Here is a 17,001-nt window from a genome sequence, read left to right on the forward strand (position 1 = left end):
ATTCTATGTTGTGCATTGACTTATTCAGCAGTGAAACGTGACACTGTGTTAGGATTAGATCGTTGGGTTCTTTCCAATAAATGAAACATTAGATTTCTAGAAAATTTGCTGTGGCATGTCTGAGCCAATTCAAGATTAGATGGCTCAACATGCGAATTACCCATCTGTATAATGTGTAACTACCCGTAAATCTTATCTCTTTCAACATCAGCAACTCCCTAACGCTTTTTTTTTCTTTCTATTCATCAGCTACTTCTAGGTGAGATATGAAACTGGGCTCTTAAAAAAATTTCTGGAACAAATTTACCATGGGAACTGAGTTTAGCATCTTAGTATTCAGTTTCCCTTTGAAAAGTGAACCCAGAAATGTCTCCCTTACTTTATGTGCCCATGTATGGGTTCAGCCAGTTATCATTTTAGCTCTAGACTAAAATGGTTAGCTCTGCAAGGCTCCACATCCCGTGAATACTTTAAAAGTACCTTTTGATCAAGTCAATAACAAACTATTATGGTGCCCATCGAATGCTTAGAAATCCTTGGAAGAAAGGACTTAAAGATAGATAAGCAATTCTGCAGTTGAAGTCTGTAACTTCTTTGTAGTTGCCAGGGCTCTTTCACTCTGGGACTGCTGATGTGGAGAAAGGTTCTCTTACTACCCAACCTATATTGGGTAGTAAGTGTATAGAAAGCTACACACTGAAACATGTAAGAATTCACCAAGGGGAAATTGAATTTCATTGTGAGATAAAATGTTGAAAGAAAATGTTTTCACCAAAATATTTTCTTTCCCAATTCTGTCACTGCTGGCGGTGGAGGTTTCATTTGGGTCTCCTTCAGGCTGTGTGGAGCCTGAATAATGCACTTTCAAACACAGATTCTATGTATGGGCCAATCTTTGGTTAATTTGACAATTAAGATTTTTCTTTGTTAAAACCAAATGGAAAGAAAATGGGAAACGCTGCTGAAATTTCTGTCAAATGTTGCAATTCAAGTCACTCTTTAGACAAAAATATTATTCCTTTAAAATATTTTATGTGAAATAGAAACAGTTTTGTGATAAATTTCACTTCTAGTCCTTTCTAGAAGTCAAAGATCATCAAGTGAACTCATGTCTAATTCACTTGTCACTTACACAACCTTATTTATAGTTTCATTCTCCAGAAAATGAGTAACGATTGTCCAGCTGAATAATCCTAGCCCCAGATATTATGTAATTGTATCTTTCAAATTCTGCCAAGGTTTTAAGATACTGATAACTATTTTAGATCACCTTTGTGCTATTAGGGAATATTATGTATGTTTTGGCAAAAAAAAATTTTATAAAGCTTCATTATACATATGCACGTGCATGCATGCTAATATGAAATAGGGAAATACAATTTGACGTAAAAATTCACTAATCCCAGTGTCATTGTTTATGACTACACTTTCATTCACTTACTTATTCAAAATTATGGGATGTTTCCAATACATCACACACTTCCTACAGCTGGAATACAGAGCTGAATACATGCGTTCTTCTCAGGAGAAGCTCCAAATTTAGTTGATTAGACAGATCTACTCACATCAACTTCATACCAAAGTGACGAATGCTACCTTAGAGATAGAAACAAGGTAGATTAGAGTGGATTTTATTTTTTATTTCTCTTTTTCCATAGTTTCCAAGTTTTCTAAATGAGCATGTATGACTTATACAATCAGAAAACAAAACAATAAATGTGATAAAATCAGACACATAAGAATAACAATAAAGGAAAAACCTTTATTTTTTTTTTATTTATTTTTTAACCAGAGGGAAGAGAAAAGAGCTTTGCTAGGAAAGCTGGGAAAGCCTTCAGAGAAGGTAACGCCATGGTGCCATCGCTGTGGCTCTTATAACTATTACTAACAACATAAACTTAGACATAGAGACCAAGTTATGTTTTTCAGGCCTCTCTCTGTGTATGTTGAAGCTTAATCAGGCATATTGTTAGGTGAGATTAAAACACCTGTCACTACAGTGAAGGAAAGCTAAATTGATGAATCGTAGAGGTGGGTAGGAGAAAACAATTTCAACTAGAGACAATTCCTAGAGATACTCTTATTTCCGTGTGTTGTGAAGAAATTACCTCTTTTTTATATTTGATTTTCTAACATCTATGACAATGCCAAACATATAATGGTACTGAATGTGTATTTGTTAAACAAATTAATTAATTAGTAAATGCTAGAGATATAAATAGATGCATGTCACCAAAAGCTACTTCTCCATATTCTAGGTTACTTTGGTGCCCAGGGCAGTAAGCTTATCAATGCAATTATACCAAATTCTTTTGAATCATAGAATGATAAGCTATAAGTGTCTGGACATCCTATAAATTTTTAAAAATGTACTATATTAGATTACATAAAAAAGGAAGAAAATATTCAATTCACTTGCGGTGTTAGAAATTTATTCCAAAGCAAGTCATCCAGTTGAGGTGGTGAATTTGTAGGCCAACTCTAGGAAAGTCATTAATCTTCGGAAAAATCTCTTAATATTTAAAGATTGTTGATACAGAAACCCAAATCTCTTAATATTTAAAGATTAAATCTTAAGATTTTAAGGTTGTTATACTTCACAAATCTAGAGTGAAAACAATGGGGGAGCTAGGGGTTGCATGGGTGGAGACAGGGGACAGGGAGCTCCTGCTTGCCATCAAGCCTCACTCTGGACCCTCAAGGTTCTCCATGAAATGAGTGTGAAGAATTTTGCCTATCAAATTTTGTTCTTGGAGTGATGTGATGATTACAGAACTTTAGATTATAGATCTGAAGTAACAAAACCTGAACCCTGTATGAAAATCTTAGTTTCATTTGTGTTCTTGATGTCTCCTAACATCCTATGGTATAGAAGTCCCTTGAAAGGCTTAGGTCTTCTATTAATTAGTCTGCATATCAAAGGGTGTTCTGTAATATGTGGGGCCTTTACATCTCTGCCAACCATGATGGGCTGCTTTGGTGGCATCTTGCCAAAGCCACAACAGTTGAGTGATGACCTGCTTTACCAGCCAGAACATTTAATCAGTTATCCTGAAAGAAGAAGTGCCTTTAGTATTTCAGTTCATAGTGTCAATCAGGCACTGCTGTGAGGAGGCAGGCTCTTTCAACCAGTTGAACTTGGATGAGTTGCAAATCTTTAGGTTGAAGAATGATCAGGGTGGCTTATTGCAGTTGTTGTAGATACTTTGCTTTGCAGTATGTAGCACCTGTGCAAATAGAGCATCCATTAGTTTTTGTGCATGGTACCGTACCAGCTTGCTTTGGTCAATGCCAGGATTGTATAAATGGTAAATAATGTTTTCAGATACTGGAAACATATAAAATTTGTCTTTCCTATCCCAATAATCCTTTCTTTGCTCAATTCAAAGTCCTAATTCTTGGTTTCAGAGGTTAGTCTTCTCTAGGGATACCGTAAGAGTTTAAATAAACTTGTAACATTTGACTGCCACCTAGATATTTTGATCTCTAAGCAACTGAAAAAGGAAGGATAACACTTGGATCCCAAGAGATTCACCAGGGCATTTCTTGGTGATTCCATGCCCATTGGTAACTGTAAGTGGGTGAGATCAGCAACCATGGCTCAACAAGAGTGAAACAACTGAAGCTCCAACCTTATACAGATAAAGTTCTGTCTCTTCTCACAATGTAAGAAACCAGACCTGCTGAAATGTTGGTCAAATCAGGGAATCTAGAATGGGGGAAGGGAGTAGAGAAAGGGAGGAGATGAATATTAATTGCAGTGGCTGAAGCAGGGTCTGTCACTTATTCACTAACTTTGTGCATTGTTATTTTACAGCTTGGGGCCAGTCATCATCTTAAAGGCTCTGTGGCAGCTTGGACTTGAAGTAGGGTGCACCCGGAATTGACCAATACAAACAGTGGACTGCACTGGATTCTTCTTGTGCCCTGTCTCATATCCTCTTGTCCCACCTTTTCATAACAGCCATTGCCATGGGAACCAGCTGCATCCAGGTACGACCTGACAGCACCCTGCTTCACTGTCATGGTGCTCCTGCAGCATTCTGGTTAGCCATCATGTTGCACACACAGACCTGGAAGGGTCAGGGAGTTGCCCATGGCAACTCTTGGCCACCAAGGGAAAGGACTAGCTCGATAGCACACTCTTGCCTTGCGTTTCCCTATTTTTCTTCTCTTAGTTGTTCATACCTTGTTTCACATCCCCATATAAGCCATCTGTACCCAAGTCCTTGTTTCATCTTCCATTTCAGGAAATACCAGGTTAATACAGAAACGCAAACTACAACAAATAAACATTCACATTTTAAAGTCAGGCAACAAAACTTTATGCCTTTCAGAGCATAATGCTTTCTGACTTCAAAATATAAGACTTCATGCTTGGCCCTTCTTTATTAAGAACTTACTTAAATCAGCATATCTTTGCATGGGACTTCAAATCCTTTCATTTAAGGCAAGTTTTACAGCCAATATTAACGTTGGTGTACCAGTACCCTGTTCTTAAACTGGCTAAAGCAGCCTCAAAATTCCCAAAGGGAATAATGAAAATTCCTAACATCCTTGGCAGGAAAACAGTTGGAAGTTTAAATCAAGCTAATTGTTTTGGCTAATATGTTTTTAATAAAATAAATATTAAATTAATAATAAAAAAGATTTCAAGCTATTTACAAAGAGAAAGGAAGGGAGGGGTTGCAGAATGCCCAACTATAAGAAATGTTGCTTGGAAACTACTCAAGAAGATGCATTTTTGAGAGCCAGGAACTCTGCTCTCCTTCATTCTGCAAGAAAGGGATAATGCTTCTATTCAAGACTTCTCTGAAAAGCCTCCAACCGTCAGGGGGCTGTGGACAAAATATATTTTTAGTTTTAGCTTGCATACTGAAATAGTTTTTAATTTTTTCAAATTTTGAAGTGATTTTTAAATAGCTTAAGAGCTTGCAGTTATTGTTAACATTTAAAGGTGCTATATTCCAGGTATTGGGCTATGAGCTTTATAAGTATTATTTAATTTAGTTTGCTTTTCACAGCAACTCTAAGAGGTAGGCATTGTTATTATCTCTGGCTCATAGATGGAGACACTGGACTTCACAGAGTTAAACATAAGTTGCCCTGACCCATACAGCTGTTAAGTAGAGAGGCTGAAGATGGAATGAAAGCCAGGTCTGGCAACTACAAAGCTCAGGCCCTTGAATTCTAACCTTAACCACTTGCAATTTAAAATGTCTGAAAGAAGAAATATAAACTAATTTTAAAATACGTGATGAGAAAATTTTCCTGTTGCTGAAGGAAAACCTGGTATGTGGATTGAAGTAGTTCACATTCTATAAGAAGCAACATAAGGAACAGGCACCAACACCTAGGCATAACCTGGAGATGTAAGACGTGTAAGGACAAAGGTGGGACACCCAGATTGCTTAAAAGGAAAAGCACTCGGGCTAGGTCTAATATCTGTCAGTTCCTGTGGGCCTTAGTTCCTGCTATTTTCTCTTCCTGTAACTCTCCCTCCTGTCACATGCCACCTGATTCTCTTGGCTTGATGAACTCTTGTTCATTTTCCCAAAATTCCAAGGGGATCTTCCTGATTCCATATACCAGTTAAGTGTCTTCTGTGCATTTTTCTGTATCACCCTCTACTAACCCTCTGCTGGCACTCACCACTGCATAATGTCTATTTAATTTAATTATTCTTACTATTAAAATGTGCACATTTTGAAGGCAAAGAACTTGATTTTACTAGTCTTTATTATATCTCCACCAAGAACAAGATCTACCTCACTACAGACTATCTATAAATATTTATTGAGTAAATTGATAACATATGATAAAGTTATTCTATGAATAGTTCTGGGATAAATAACTGAATTTAATGAAAGTAAATTTGAATCTCTACTTCACGTCATTCACCAACATAATTTCCACATGTATTATATACACATTTAAGATAAAAAACTAGAAGGTAATATAGATAAATATCTGATATCAGATTGGTGAACACCTATTCAAGCATAAGAGTATAAGCAACATGATATCATGATTCTTGACCCTTTGAAAATATCAGAACTGGTTGAAATCTATTGAACCTGATAAAAGCTTCAGATTCAACGCCTAAAAAAATGCTTACTTGTACACCTACTTCTAATATTTACATGCATCTCTGAAAGTTTCATGGACAATTTGAAGCTCTTCAAGAGAATTCTGAACAAATTTAGCCAAAGAGAAAAAAATTTATATACTTATCTACATAAAAGTGAAAACCCCTGTATGTCAAAAAGTACATGAACCAAATTGGACAGAAATGAGAAACCTGGAAAAAAATATTTGAATGCTATGTGTCAAACACAGATATATTGTCTACACATGTGAAAAGCTCTTATAAATCAATCAGGGAAAGATGAATACTCCAAATGAAAAACTAAAGAAATGAAAAGACAATTCACAAATGCCAATAGACATAGAAAATATGTATGTTTTATCAACGTCAAAAAAGCTCTGGAAGCCTGGAATCTCATAGGAAGATGGGTTCTTTTGTTTTCTTGAATCACGCTGACAGGCTAAGAAAAGAAGACTTGTAGTATAAAAGGAGTAAAAATCTACAGAGATAAGTGACTTTTTTTTTCGGGTTCCTGTTAAGTTTTTTATTTACCTTGGCCCCATGTTTTGTTTCATTTCTTGAAACACGGATATTTAGTTGTTTCAGCATCATTAATTGAAAATACCACACTTTCTTCATTAAATTATCTTTGAATCCTTGTCAAAATTTAGTGGTATGACTCTCTATCTACATATTCTATTCTCTTCCACTGATCTCTGTGTATGTCCATTTGCCAATACCATACTTTTATGATTAATGCAACTTTTAGTAATCCTTGAAAATAGAGAGTGTAAGTCCTTCAACATTGTTCTCCCTTTCAAAATTATTTTGAGTATTCTAGATCCTTGGATTTTTCATATAATTTTTAGCTTCAGCTTGTCAATTTTAAGAAAAAAATCCTACTGAGACTTTGATTGGGATTGTTTTCAATTCATAGAGCAGTATGGGAAGAAGAATTAATGTCTTCACAATATTGAGCCTTCCAGTTCATCAGCACAGTATATCTCTTGTTTAGGTCTTTTAAAAATTTCTTTCTCAGTGTTTTGTAATTTTCAGCATACAGATTGTAAATATGTTTTGTTAGATTTATACCTATGTATTTCAAGGTTTTGGTACTATTTTAAACTGTCCTGCTCTTAAAATATTGATGTGTAACATTAATTTAAATGGAGAAAATACAGCCCTTTCAACAAATGGTACTATAATGTTTGGATCTCCATGAACAAAAAAAATAATGCCCCTCCACCCATACCTTTCAACGTATATAACAATAATCTTTAAATGGATCATAGACCCAATATAAAACCAAAAACTTTCAAACTTCCATAAGAAAACATTGGAGAAAAGTTTTGTGCCCTTGGATTATGCAAAGATTTCTTATAGATGAAAACATGATCATTAAATGAAAAAATAATTAATAAACTGGACTTTAGCAAAATTATACACTTCAGCTCTTTGAAAGACACTCTTAAGAGAATAAAAAGAGAAGCCACAAAAATAATAGAAGATATTCTAAAAGCACATATCTGTTAAAGTACTTGTATCCAGTATATATAAGTAACTCCTAAAACTCAAGAATCCAAACAATCCAATGAAAAAAAAATGGGCAAAAGGTTTGAACTGATAAATCACCAAAAATATATGTTGATAAACAAGAACATGAATAGATGATCAACATCATTAGTCATTAGTGAAATGAAAATTAAAATCACATGATACTATATTTACATCCTCATCAAAATGGCTAAAATAAAAATCTCTGAGAATACTGACATTTAGTTTGGCTGTGGAGCAACTGCCATTCTCTCGTACATTGCTGGTGAGAATGCAAAGTGCAGCTACTTTGCTAAACAATTTGACAGTTTATTTTAAAATTAAACCTATATTTACAATAAAATTCAGTAATTCCATTTGTATTTACCCTAGTGAAATAAAAAGCTATATTCACACAAAAAATCTGTACACAAATGTCTCCAGCAACTTTATTCTAAATCACCCCAAGGTGCAAACAACACAAACATCCTTCATCCGAGTAATGGATAAACATACTGCAGTGCACCTGTGCAATGGAAGACCATTCAGCAAAAAAACCAGATGAAGTAATGACACGTGCAACAACACAGATGAATCTCGAATGCATTATGGAAATGAATGAGGCCAGGCTCAAAGGCTACACACTCTATAATCCCATTTATATGGCATTCTGGAATAAGCTAAGCTACAAGATCAGAAAACAGACCAGTAGCTGGTAAGGTCTGGAGCAGGATGTGTAGTTGACTAACCAGCGTATGAGGGAATTTAGGGGATGATATTTTTATTGTGGTGGTGGTAATGGTTACACAACCATATGAACTTTACACTAGTGTACATTAGAAAGGGTGAATTTTACTGTATGTAAATTATATCTAATTTTGAAAGTATTAGAGAAATCTCTCCAACCAGTTCAGAACCTTACATTTGATCCTTTGCTGATTCTAATTCTGTACATTGGAAACCAGCAAGTCAGTTGTAAACTGCTAAACGGAGGGGATTTTTGTGGGAAAGAGAAGACGAAGTCCTCTCTGTACTAACCATATGGAATAATGTGTTTATTATTAAAAATCAAACAAGCAAACAAAGAATCTACAACCCTATAGCATATTTAAATCTCCCATGCTGCGTGGCTATCATTCTGACTTTATTTCGTTTTCTTCGTAGTGGGGTGTTGGTTCTTCAAAAAGTAAATCCAGCTATACTCCTCCCTTAGAATGAACAATTTCAAACTATTTTAACCTTCTCATTAAGGCTATTTTTACAGTGGAGAATTGCTACATTAAAGGCTACATAAAATGTATGATGTCAGTGAGTTATATTAACCCTCTGTGAAATATGCTGCAACAAATTTCATTTTACAGAACTCTGGCCTCTTGAGATTTAAATCCAGCCCAAATGGAATTTTTTTATTTAAATCAGGGAACTCTTTTCAACTGAGACTTTCCATAGTCAGCTTATGGCACAGTTTATCATATAGTTTATTAACCACGAAAACAATAAAGTAAAACAGAAGTACTAACAGACTCTTGTCTAGTGTTGACATCTGTAGATCCTTTGTGCAGGAGAAAAGATGCTGAAGCTATCGCTTTACTTTTCACACAGCTGGTGTGGGGATGGGAATTTAACAAGTAGCGAGGGCTGAGAACTCGCCAGCACTACCCAAGTCAACTCAATGCCTGAAAGTGTTGTGGAGTAACTCTCACCTCTCCTCGCTGAATCCTGGGAAATCCTAAAACCCAAGTGTTCTGTCACTCTGCTTTTCCATTACCCTTAGATAAAGTTCAGAATCTTTTCATGATTTCTAAGGGTTAAGTCATGCTACTGCCCTCTCACACTCCAGTCACTTGGGCTTATTTTTCCAATCCTCCAGGCTCAACACCACCACTTCCTGGCCTACATATACGGACAGTAAACCATCCTTGTAAACTGGCATTACTGATACATAAAATTGCAAATAATGTATTGCCTCAGATCTAAGTCACATTTTAAAAATGAGTGCATGACATCATATGTATGAGGGTGTCTCTAAATCACCCAGTGGCAGCTCAGGAATATTGGAACTGTGACTGTGGCTTCCTCTCCATATGCAGAATGCTGTGCCTCTTGGGGCAGCTGGTACTCTAAGGTAAACACTGAGGAGGGGGCTTTGGCACACAGCTGGTGAGCTCTGACTTTTTGAGAGCTTTAGTAATGGTTTTGCCCTGAGCAATTTTCCATGGGATTAGTGGGGTTTGGAACCAGTTGATGTTTTCTGAGGGCACACTGGAGTAAAAACACACAAAAATATAATTCTTGGAGATAGATTCATTGAGAGCTTGGCATTTGCCCCATAAGAACTAGAAAGTATATTTGAAATCTGAGACTATATTGTGCTAATAGAGGCATATTGAACACATTTGTGTATTTCTTTAAAAGGAGCATAATGGCACTGTTTATTATTCTTTGTCTGAATCACATTTTAAGGTGACTTTTCATTTGCTCTCTATTTTTCTTTATTTGAGTCGGTAATTGGACACAGCAATTCTTTTGTAGCTAAGGCTTCCTCTATCAATAGGCAACTGTGTCTGAATGTCATTTACTTTCAAACCAAAAAAAGGCATCAAGCACTTTGTCTAGCAATGAGAGCAAATTTGGTTAAAAAGTTGGCAATCGTTCCTACCACTAAACGCATTCTCTGTATGAATTATAGGGGAGAGAGCCAGAAAATAGCAGAGAGAGCACATAGTTCAGGTGGAGGAGATCTTTTTGAGCTGAGACCACAGTAGTCATTGAGTGTCCTGTTATTTCTTGATGGACTGGGTATTTTAAAATGTAAAAGCCTCTGTAGGTCACCTAATTCATTAGCTGGATCCTAAAAATTTTTAGGAAGGAAAAGTACCATTGAAAGAGAAACTATGACTTAATAAAGCTTTCATAGCCTTTAAAATGTCTCTATTCTGTATGGATGTTCTATATCTGAGCTGTGGTATATGATCAAATAAATAAAAAGGGATGTTTAAAATGGTACTTCCTTGGCATGTTCATCAGTTTGGCCTATCAGACTAGGGAAGAGATCGAAAATTGATCAAATGGCCATATTATTCTATCACTTTCATTACACAAGGGTAGATGCATTTTATTATCTGTTTCAACGTTTTCAATGGCCAAAGCAGGATATTTGCATGCATTACGATTAATGATTAGTCTGCATTGGCCACAGATTGGTAAATATGTCAAACACAAAGTGAATTTTTCCCAAAATTACCACTCAGGAAAGAGGGAATTGTATTATATTCAAATCACTTCAAAACTTGTGCAGTGATGACATTATTTTGAACAACAAATTGTTTAGCTACTCAGGAGGCTGAGGCAGGAGAGTTGCTTGAACCTGGGAGGTGGAGGTGGAGGTTGCAGTGAGCCGGATTGTGCCATTGCACTTCAGCCTGGGCGACAGAGCAAACTCTGACTCAAAAAAAAAAAAAAAAAAAAAAAAAAAAAAAAAAGAGAAAGAAACATTAACTTAAAATGATCTCAGTGAAGTCTAGTATTGAGTGCATATGTAGGTTATCTGTTGGAATTCCCTGAAAGACAACACAAATTTAGCAAAAGATCACAGTGCTCATGGAAGCACATTTTTAAAAATTCATTTTTAAACAAATGTAATAGAATCACATGGTACAACAGTCAAACTATTTTAAACAGTATACAGTAAAACAAAGAAAATCTCCCTCCCACTCTTGTCCTCCAAACATCCAGTTCCCTTCCCTGGAGACAACTGATGTGGCCATATACACAACATGGTAGAGATCTTAAAAAGCATACAGTGCATGGGTAGGTTGTATACACAGGATGAATGGAACCATCAAATGTCCTAATGTCCTGAAAATGAGTTGCTTGGGGCTTGGAACTGAATTTCTAGGATATCCTACAAAGATCCCAAAAGTGCAGTATCACACATATCAGTTGGAAGTGAGGAATGTGCCTGAAACAGCTGCGCTAGAAGATATGAACTCCTACTGCTTATAAATTGTGCATAGTGAAATTATTCATTCACTACTTTTTTGAGACGGAGTCTCGCTCTGTCGCCCAGACTGGAGAACAGTGGTGCGATCTTGGCTCGTTGCAAATTCTGCCTCTCAGGTTCAAACAATTCTCCTGCCTTAGCCTCCTGAGTAGCTGGGATTACAGGCAAACGCCACCACACCTGGCTAATTTTTGTATTTTTAGTAGAGACAGGGTTTCACCATGTTGGTCAGGCTGGTCTCGAACTCCTGATCTCATGATCTGCCTGCCTTGGCCTGCAAAAGTGCTGAGATTACAGGAGTGAGCCACCACGCCCGGCCTCATTCACTCCTTAACTAAATACACTGAAAAACTACTATATGTCAGGAACTGCAATAAGTATCAGAAATAAAATTGTAAACAAAAAGGAGATATGTCCTGACCTCATGAAGCTTACTTTTTAAAGGAGTTGTCTAAAATAAATTAGAAATTTAAAAGACTGAAGGAAAAGCTCTGAAAATGGGCAAAAATATTAAAAATCTATATAAAGAACTGCAAACAAACCCTTGGTGCAACAACATTGCCATTATTTAAAACATTAATAATTATTATTTCTTTAACTAAGTTGTCATTTTGATTAAAGTACTGGGCCATCTAGCATAGTTTTCACCAAGCTGCTATTTTGGCCCAATCATTTAGAGCTATTCAAATATAAGGCATTATTACAAATAACTTTAGTTTATATTTTTTTCTCCTCTGTATAGCTTCTTATACATTTTCAGCCTTCATGATATTGTGTTAAATTTAGGCTAATCTGCTTCTCTTTCCCTATATGAGGGGGCAATGTTTTGTCATCTTAGTATTTCCAGCTTTTATCGTATCAACGCACTTGTCACATAACACTTAGTAACCACTGGCTGAAAGAGTGAGTAAGTGGATAATAATACTAAACATTGCAATCTGTGTTTTGTGATCTCACCTATTCACAAAGGATGCCTTTTTGCTATTCAGTCAAGTTGCTTCTGGCCTCATTCTCCTTGGAATAGGTGATGTAAATGGAATGCCTTTATTTCTCACAACTAATGAGCCATCCAGTCTCTGTTCATTGCTATGACTTTTTAAGTATACATTTGCAGGGGATTCAATAACCATTTGGAAATGTAATTATCATGTTTTCCAGCTACACAAATACATAAGGGATAGATTTATTTATGTGCTTAGGTATATAATACGTGTCCTGTTATTTTTTTTTTTTTCACCTACAATTTTCCCTTTTTCGGCAAACATTTCTGGGGCAAAGAAGGTTAGATTCTATTTTCAGTCACTGTCCATCAAAGGGAACCTGGAGCAAATGTGCATATACCCCAAGAGCACCTTTCTCGCAGGCCCTGGGTGATGACTCACTATTGTTTACAACAGGATTTTCCCTCATGTGAAGCAGGTGTTGAAACATTTGGACAGCTCTCTAAAAATCTTAGTGAAATGCAGTGAGTGTGAATCAGCAGTCTGCATGTTTTTTGAAAGTGCTTTTGGTCCTCTAAGCCACCTTCAACTTGCAGAGTAACCTTTTCTTCATGGTTCCATTGACCTATTGTCCCCTCCTGACTTGTCACCTTCACTCAAACCTCATATGCTACACCCAACCAATGATCCTCACCTCGGTTCACCAGCATCTCTCCTTTTTAGTATTCATCCAGCTCCCCATACTTCCCAACAAATTCCACCATTGAGTAAAAGTGAAGTGGCCATTTCTCTTAGTCACTGTGTAGTCTGAGCATGCTGCCCTGGGGTGTTTTCTGTATATGGTGCCATTTCTTAGTGAATCACAGGAGTAGGCAGGTGGGGAGCAAGTAGGTCCTCAAGAAAATGCAGGTTTGTTATAGCTAGATACCTCTTGGCCAACTCCAGCCTAAATCACTGAAGTATTGTATACTTCTATTCTCAACTACTAATAAAGACACACCCAAGGCTGAGTAATTTATAAAGAAAAATAGGTGTAAGGGCCTCACAGTTTCACATGGCTGGGAAAGCCTCACAATCATGGCAGAAGGGGAAGCAAACGTGTCCTTCTTCACATGGTGGCAGGCAAGGGGGGAAAAGCCCTTTATAAAACCATCAGATCTCAGGAGAACTCACTCACTATCACAAGAACAGCAGCATGGGGGTAAACACCCCCAAGATTCAATTACCTCCCACCGGATCCCTCCTATGACACGTGGGGATTATGGGAACTACAATTCAAGATGAGATTTAGGTGAGGACACAGCCAAATAGTATCGAGTAAGTAATGACAGGACTTTTAAAAAAGAACAAAATACTAGTATTGTTTCACAGGGTTTCCTGGAAGCACAATGTATTCTCCACTTCTCTCCTTGATTGTCTTACTCTTTTTATAAGTTTATATAATACCACTGAAGCTCATGATCAAAATTTGCTTTGATGGTTAGAATATGATGTTAAATAAGAAAACAGGGGAAATATACCAAATCATTCTACTTCAGAAGGTCACCCCAAATCTCTAAATCCTTGTCTGTGTATTCTGGCAAGTCCTCCAAAAGCAGTAGAAAAATCAGTAACTGGTGGCCCAAGAAGAGATATACTTGCAACAATTAAAAAATCTGAAAATATCAAGCATTGATGAGGATATGAAGCAACTAGAATTCTCATTCTTTGCTTGTAGGTGTATCAGTGGGTGCCATCACTTTGAAACATAGTTTGGTGTTGTCTAATAGAGTTGAATGTAACATACATTCTCTGTGACTCAGCAATCTCACATTCAGGTATATCCTCCAGAGCCATGTAAGCACATTTGTGCCAAGGTTTCCAGACAAGAGTCTTCATAGCACCAATTCTTAGTAGTACCCCCAAACTAGAAATAACCCAAACATCCAATACTAATGGAATAGATAATTAGGATAGATCATTTATTTTGGTATATGAACACAATGGAAATGAATGAACTGCATCTACCTGCAACAAAATGAAAGCATTTAAGAACATAATGCTGAGCGAAAAGACCCAGAAACATAAAGAGACTTAGTGTGCTACCATTTCTGTAAACTTTAATTCATCCAAAACTCAGCAGTATTGTTTAGGGAGGCGTATGTGAATGGTCAAGTTTACAAAAATTAGCATTTGGGAGGAAATATTTTGGGAGAATTTGGAAGGAAATACCCTCACAGAAGATAAGGTAGTGGTTACTTAACAAAAGAGAGTTATGATAAGGGAGGGTTTCAAGGGGAGTTTCCAGGGTGCTGAACTGATAATGTCCTATTTCATGATCAGATACTAGAAACACAGGCTTTATCTTTATATTTGTTAAACTTGGATATTACTTTACATTATTCTCAGCATTCTATTTTCAACTTAAAAATTAAAAAGAAATGTGGAAGCCAATGCTGGTTTAAGCAGGGCAAGGTGGTGGACTGTGAAGAATGGATTGAAGCATAATTCACTCCCCTGGGGAGTACTCCCTTTGGCTGTTTCAACACATGAATCTCAGCTAATGAATCCCCAGAAATGCCTTGACTAAAAAAAGCTTCCTTGTGTTTCAAAGTATATCAACCCTAACATCTACTAAGTTTGGGGGTAATATAGTTTGGCTGTGCCCCCTTCCAAATCTCATCTCAAGTTGTAATACACATTGTAATCTCTACGTGTTGAGGGAGGAACCTGGTGGGAGGTGAATGGATCATGGGACAATTTCCCTCATGCTGTTCTTGTGATAGTGAGTGAATTCTCACGAGATCTGGTTGTTTGATAAGTGTTTGGGGCTTCCCCTTTCTCTCTCTCTCTCTCCTGCCATCATGTAACATGTGCCTGGCTTCTCTTTCACCTTCCGCCATGATTGTACGTTTACTGAGGCCCCTCCAGACACGCGGACCTGTGAGCTGTTGGTCAATTAAACCTCTTTTGTTTGTAAATTACCCTGTCTCAGGTAGTATCTTTATCATACTGTAAGAACGAACTAATACAAGGGGGTAACAGTCAAATTCATGTGTTTTCCAGATTGCTTACTATCATCATCTCCCACCAGAAAAGATATTCTGGTTGACAACAGTAATAACAGATCAGGAGTGAACCTGACTGCCATAAAACACCTCTGGGCTATCTCTTCCCTGTGGCAAAAAATTATGGGGACTTAGTAGGGAAACATCAGTAAAAAATATCTACTTGTTAATCCTTGATCTTAAGTCATTGCTTGTATTTTTGAGTAAATTGCTATGCATGTTTGTATGGATAAGTGTAGATATTTCTATTTTGTATTTTTCAACTCCTGTATTTGGGGACATGCATGAAATTTCTTGTTGCATTCCTTAGCAGAGAATATAGCTAGGTATATTTTTAAAGTCTTCATCTAAATTAATCTTTACTCTCAGATAACACATTTGCTCAGAGAACATGCAAGAAAACTTTGAGTAGGAGGTATCTAGTGGTTGTTGGCCATAGCTGATTTGACTGCTCTGCCTGTGGTTTTGCAGAAAGCTTTCATGTATTCAGCATACAAATTGTGTGATGAGCTCAAGTCGGCAAAAGTGGCCAGGGTCAAATAACTGAATCTGTTTACTTTGTGTGAGTACTGGTGACCATTTATAAATTTAATTAATAATTTGATGTCTAATTTTATAGTTTGTTAATAAGAAGAACACATGTACACACTTACACTCACCACTGATGAACAATTTAGGGAAAGGTATCCTTTTCTTCCCTGTGGGAAATATGTAAAACTAATATATGGCTCCTAATTTTGGAAAACAAAAAGTGATTTCCAAGAAGATACCCAAGATACCATTCTTGCCCTTGTTTTGCTGACAGAAGGATCCGGAATTCTTACACAGTTAAAGAACTGGTCCACAGTCAACCTGTCATTCCAGCACATGCCCCAGGTCTCTGTCTCCAAGGATTTCTTCATGCTTTTGCTTCCATCTTAATTCTTTCTCACCCTTCCCTGGCAAGTTCAAATTCTACTAATCCTTCAATGTCCTTCAATGCTCAGGTCAAATGTGTTTGAATTCATGAAGACATGTCTCTTCCTACTAGTTGGAAATACATGTATTTTCCTTTTCATTTCTATAGCACTTTGGCTAACTCATATAATCACTTTTACGTTTTATCTGCCCTATTAGATTGCATCATTGAAGGCAATGACTATGCCCTTTTCTTTCTTGATCTTCAAAGCACCTTACACATAGTAAATGCTGAAGAATGTTTGTTGAGTGAATGATTAAGCCAAAGATGTATCTGAAATGAGTAGGAGTATGTACCCTATGAAGATGAAATCATGACCCATCATAGAGCTAAATCCACAATCATGAAACTGAACTATGGTTCTGGAGCCAATGTGACCTGTGGACACTATTGTTGAGTTCATCCTTGTGAACTGTAAAATCTGCATTTGT

At 36.7% G+C, this 17,001-nt stretch overlaps 2 long non-coding RNA genes across 8 annotated transcripts in view; one reads left to right on the forward strand and one right to left on the reverse strand.

The window, feature by feature from the left end:
• The window catches only part of LOC105370504 (uncharacterized), a 402,142-nt gene that overhangs the window by 362,730 nt on the left and 22,411 nt on the right, over positions 1-17,001 (forward strand). For 2 of the 3 annotated variants that reach the window (XR_001750975.3, XR_001750974.1), the window contains exon 3: positions 3,818-5,717. This is a non-coding gene — a long non-coding RNA (uncharacterized LOC105370504). Of the gene's footprint in view, positions 1-3,817; positions 5,718-17,001 lie in introns of those variants that run through there. The other variant, XR_943876.3, reaches the window with a different exon arrangement.
• Positions 1,616-17,001, reverse strand: part of LINC02331 (long intergenic non-protein coding RNA 2331) — a 165,830-nt gene continuing 150,444 nt past the window's right edge. For all 5 annotated transcript variants that reach the window (NR_184221.1, NR_184218.1, NR_184212.1 and 2 more), the window contains one exon: positions 1,616-3,227. This is a non-coding gene — a long non-coding RNA (long intergenic non-protein coding RNA 2331). The remainder of the gene's footprint in view (positions 3,228-17,001) is intronic.

The sequence above is a fragment of the Homo sapiens genome, chromosome 14 (genome assembly GCF_000001405.40).
Source record: "Homo sapiens chromosome 14, GRCh38.p14 Primary Assembly".
NCBI lineage: Eukaryota > Metazoa > Chordata > Mammalia > Primates > Hominidae > Homo > Homo sapiens.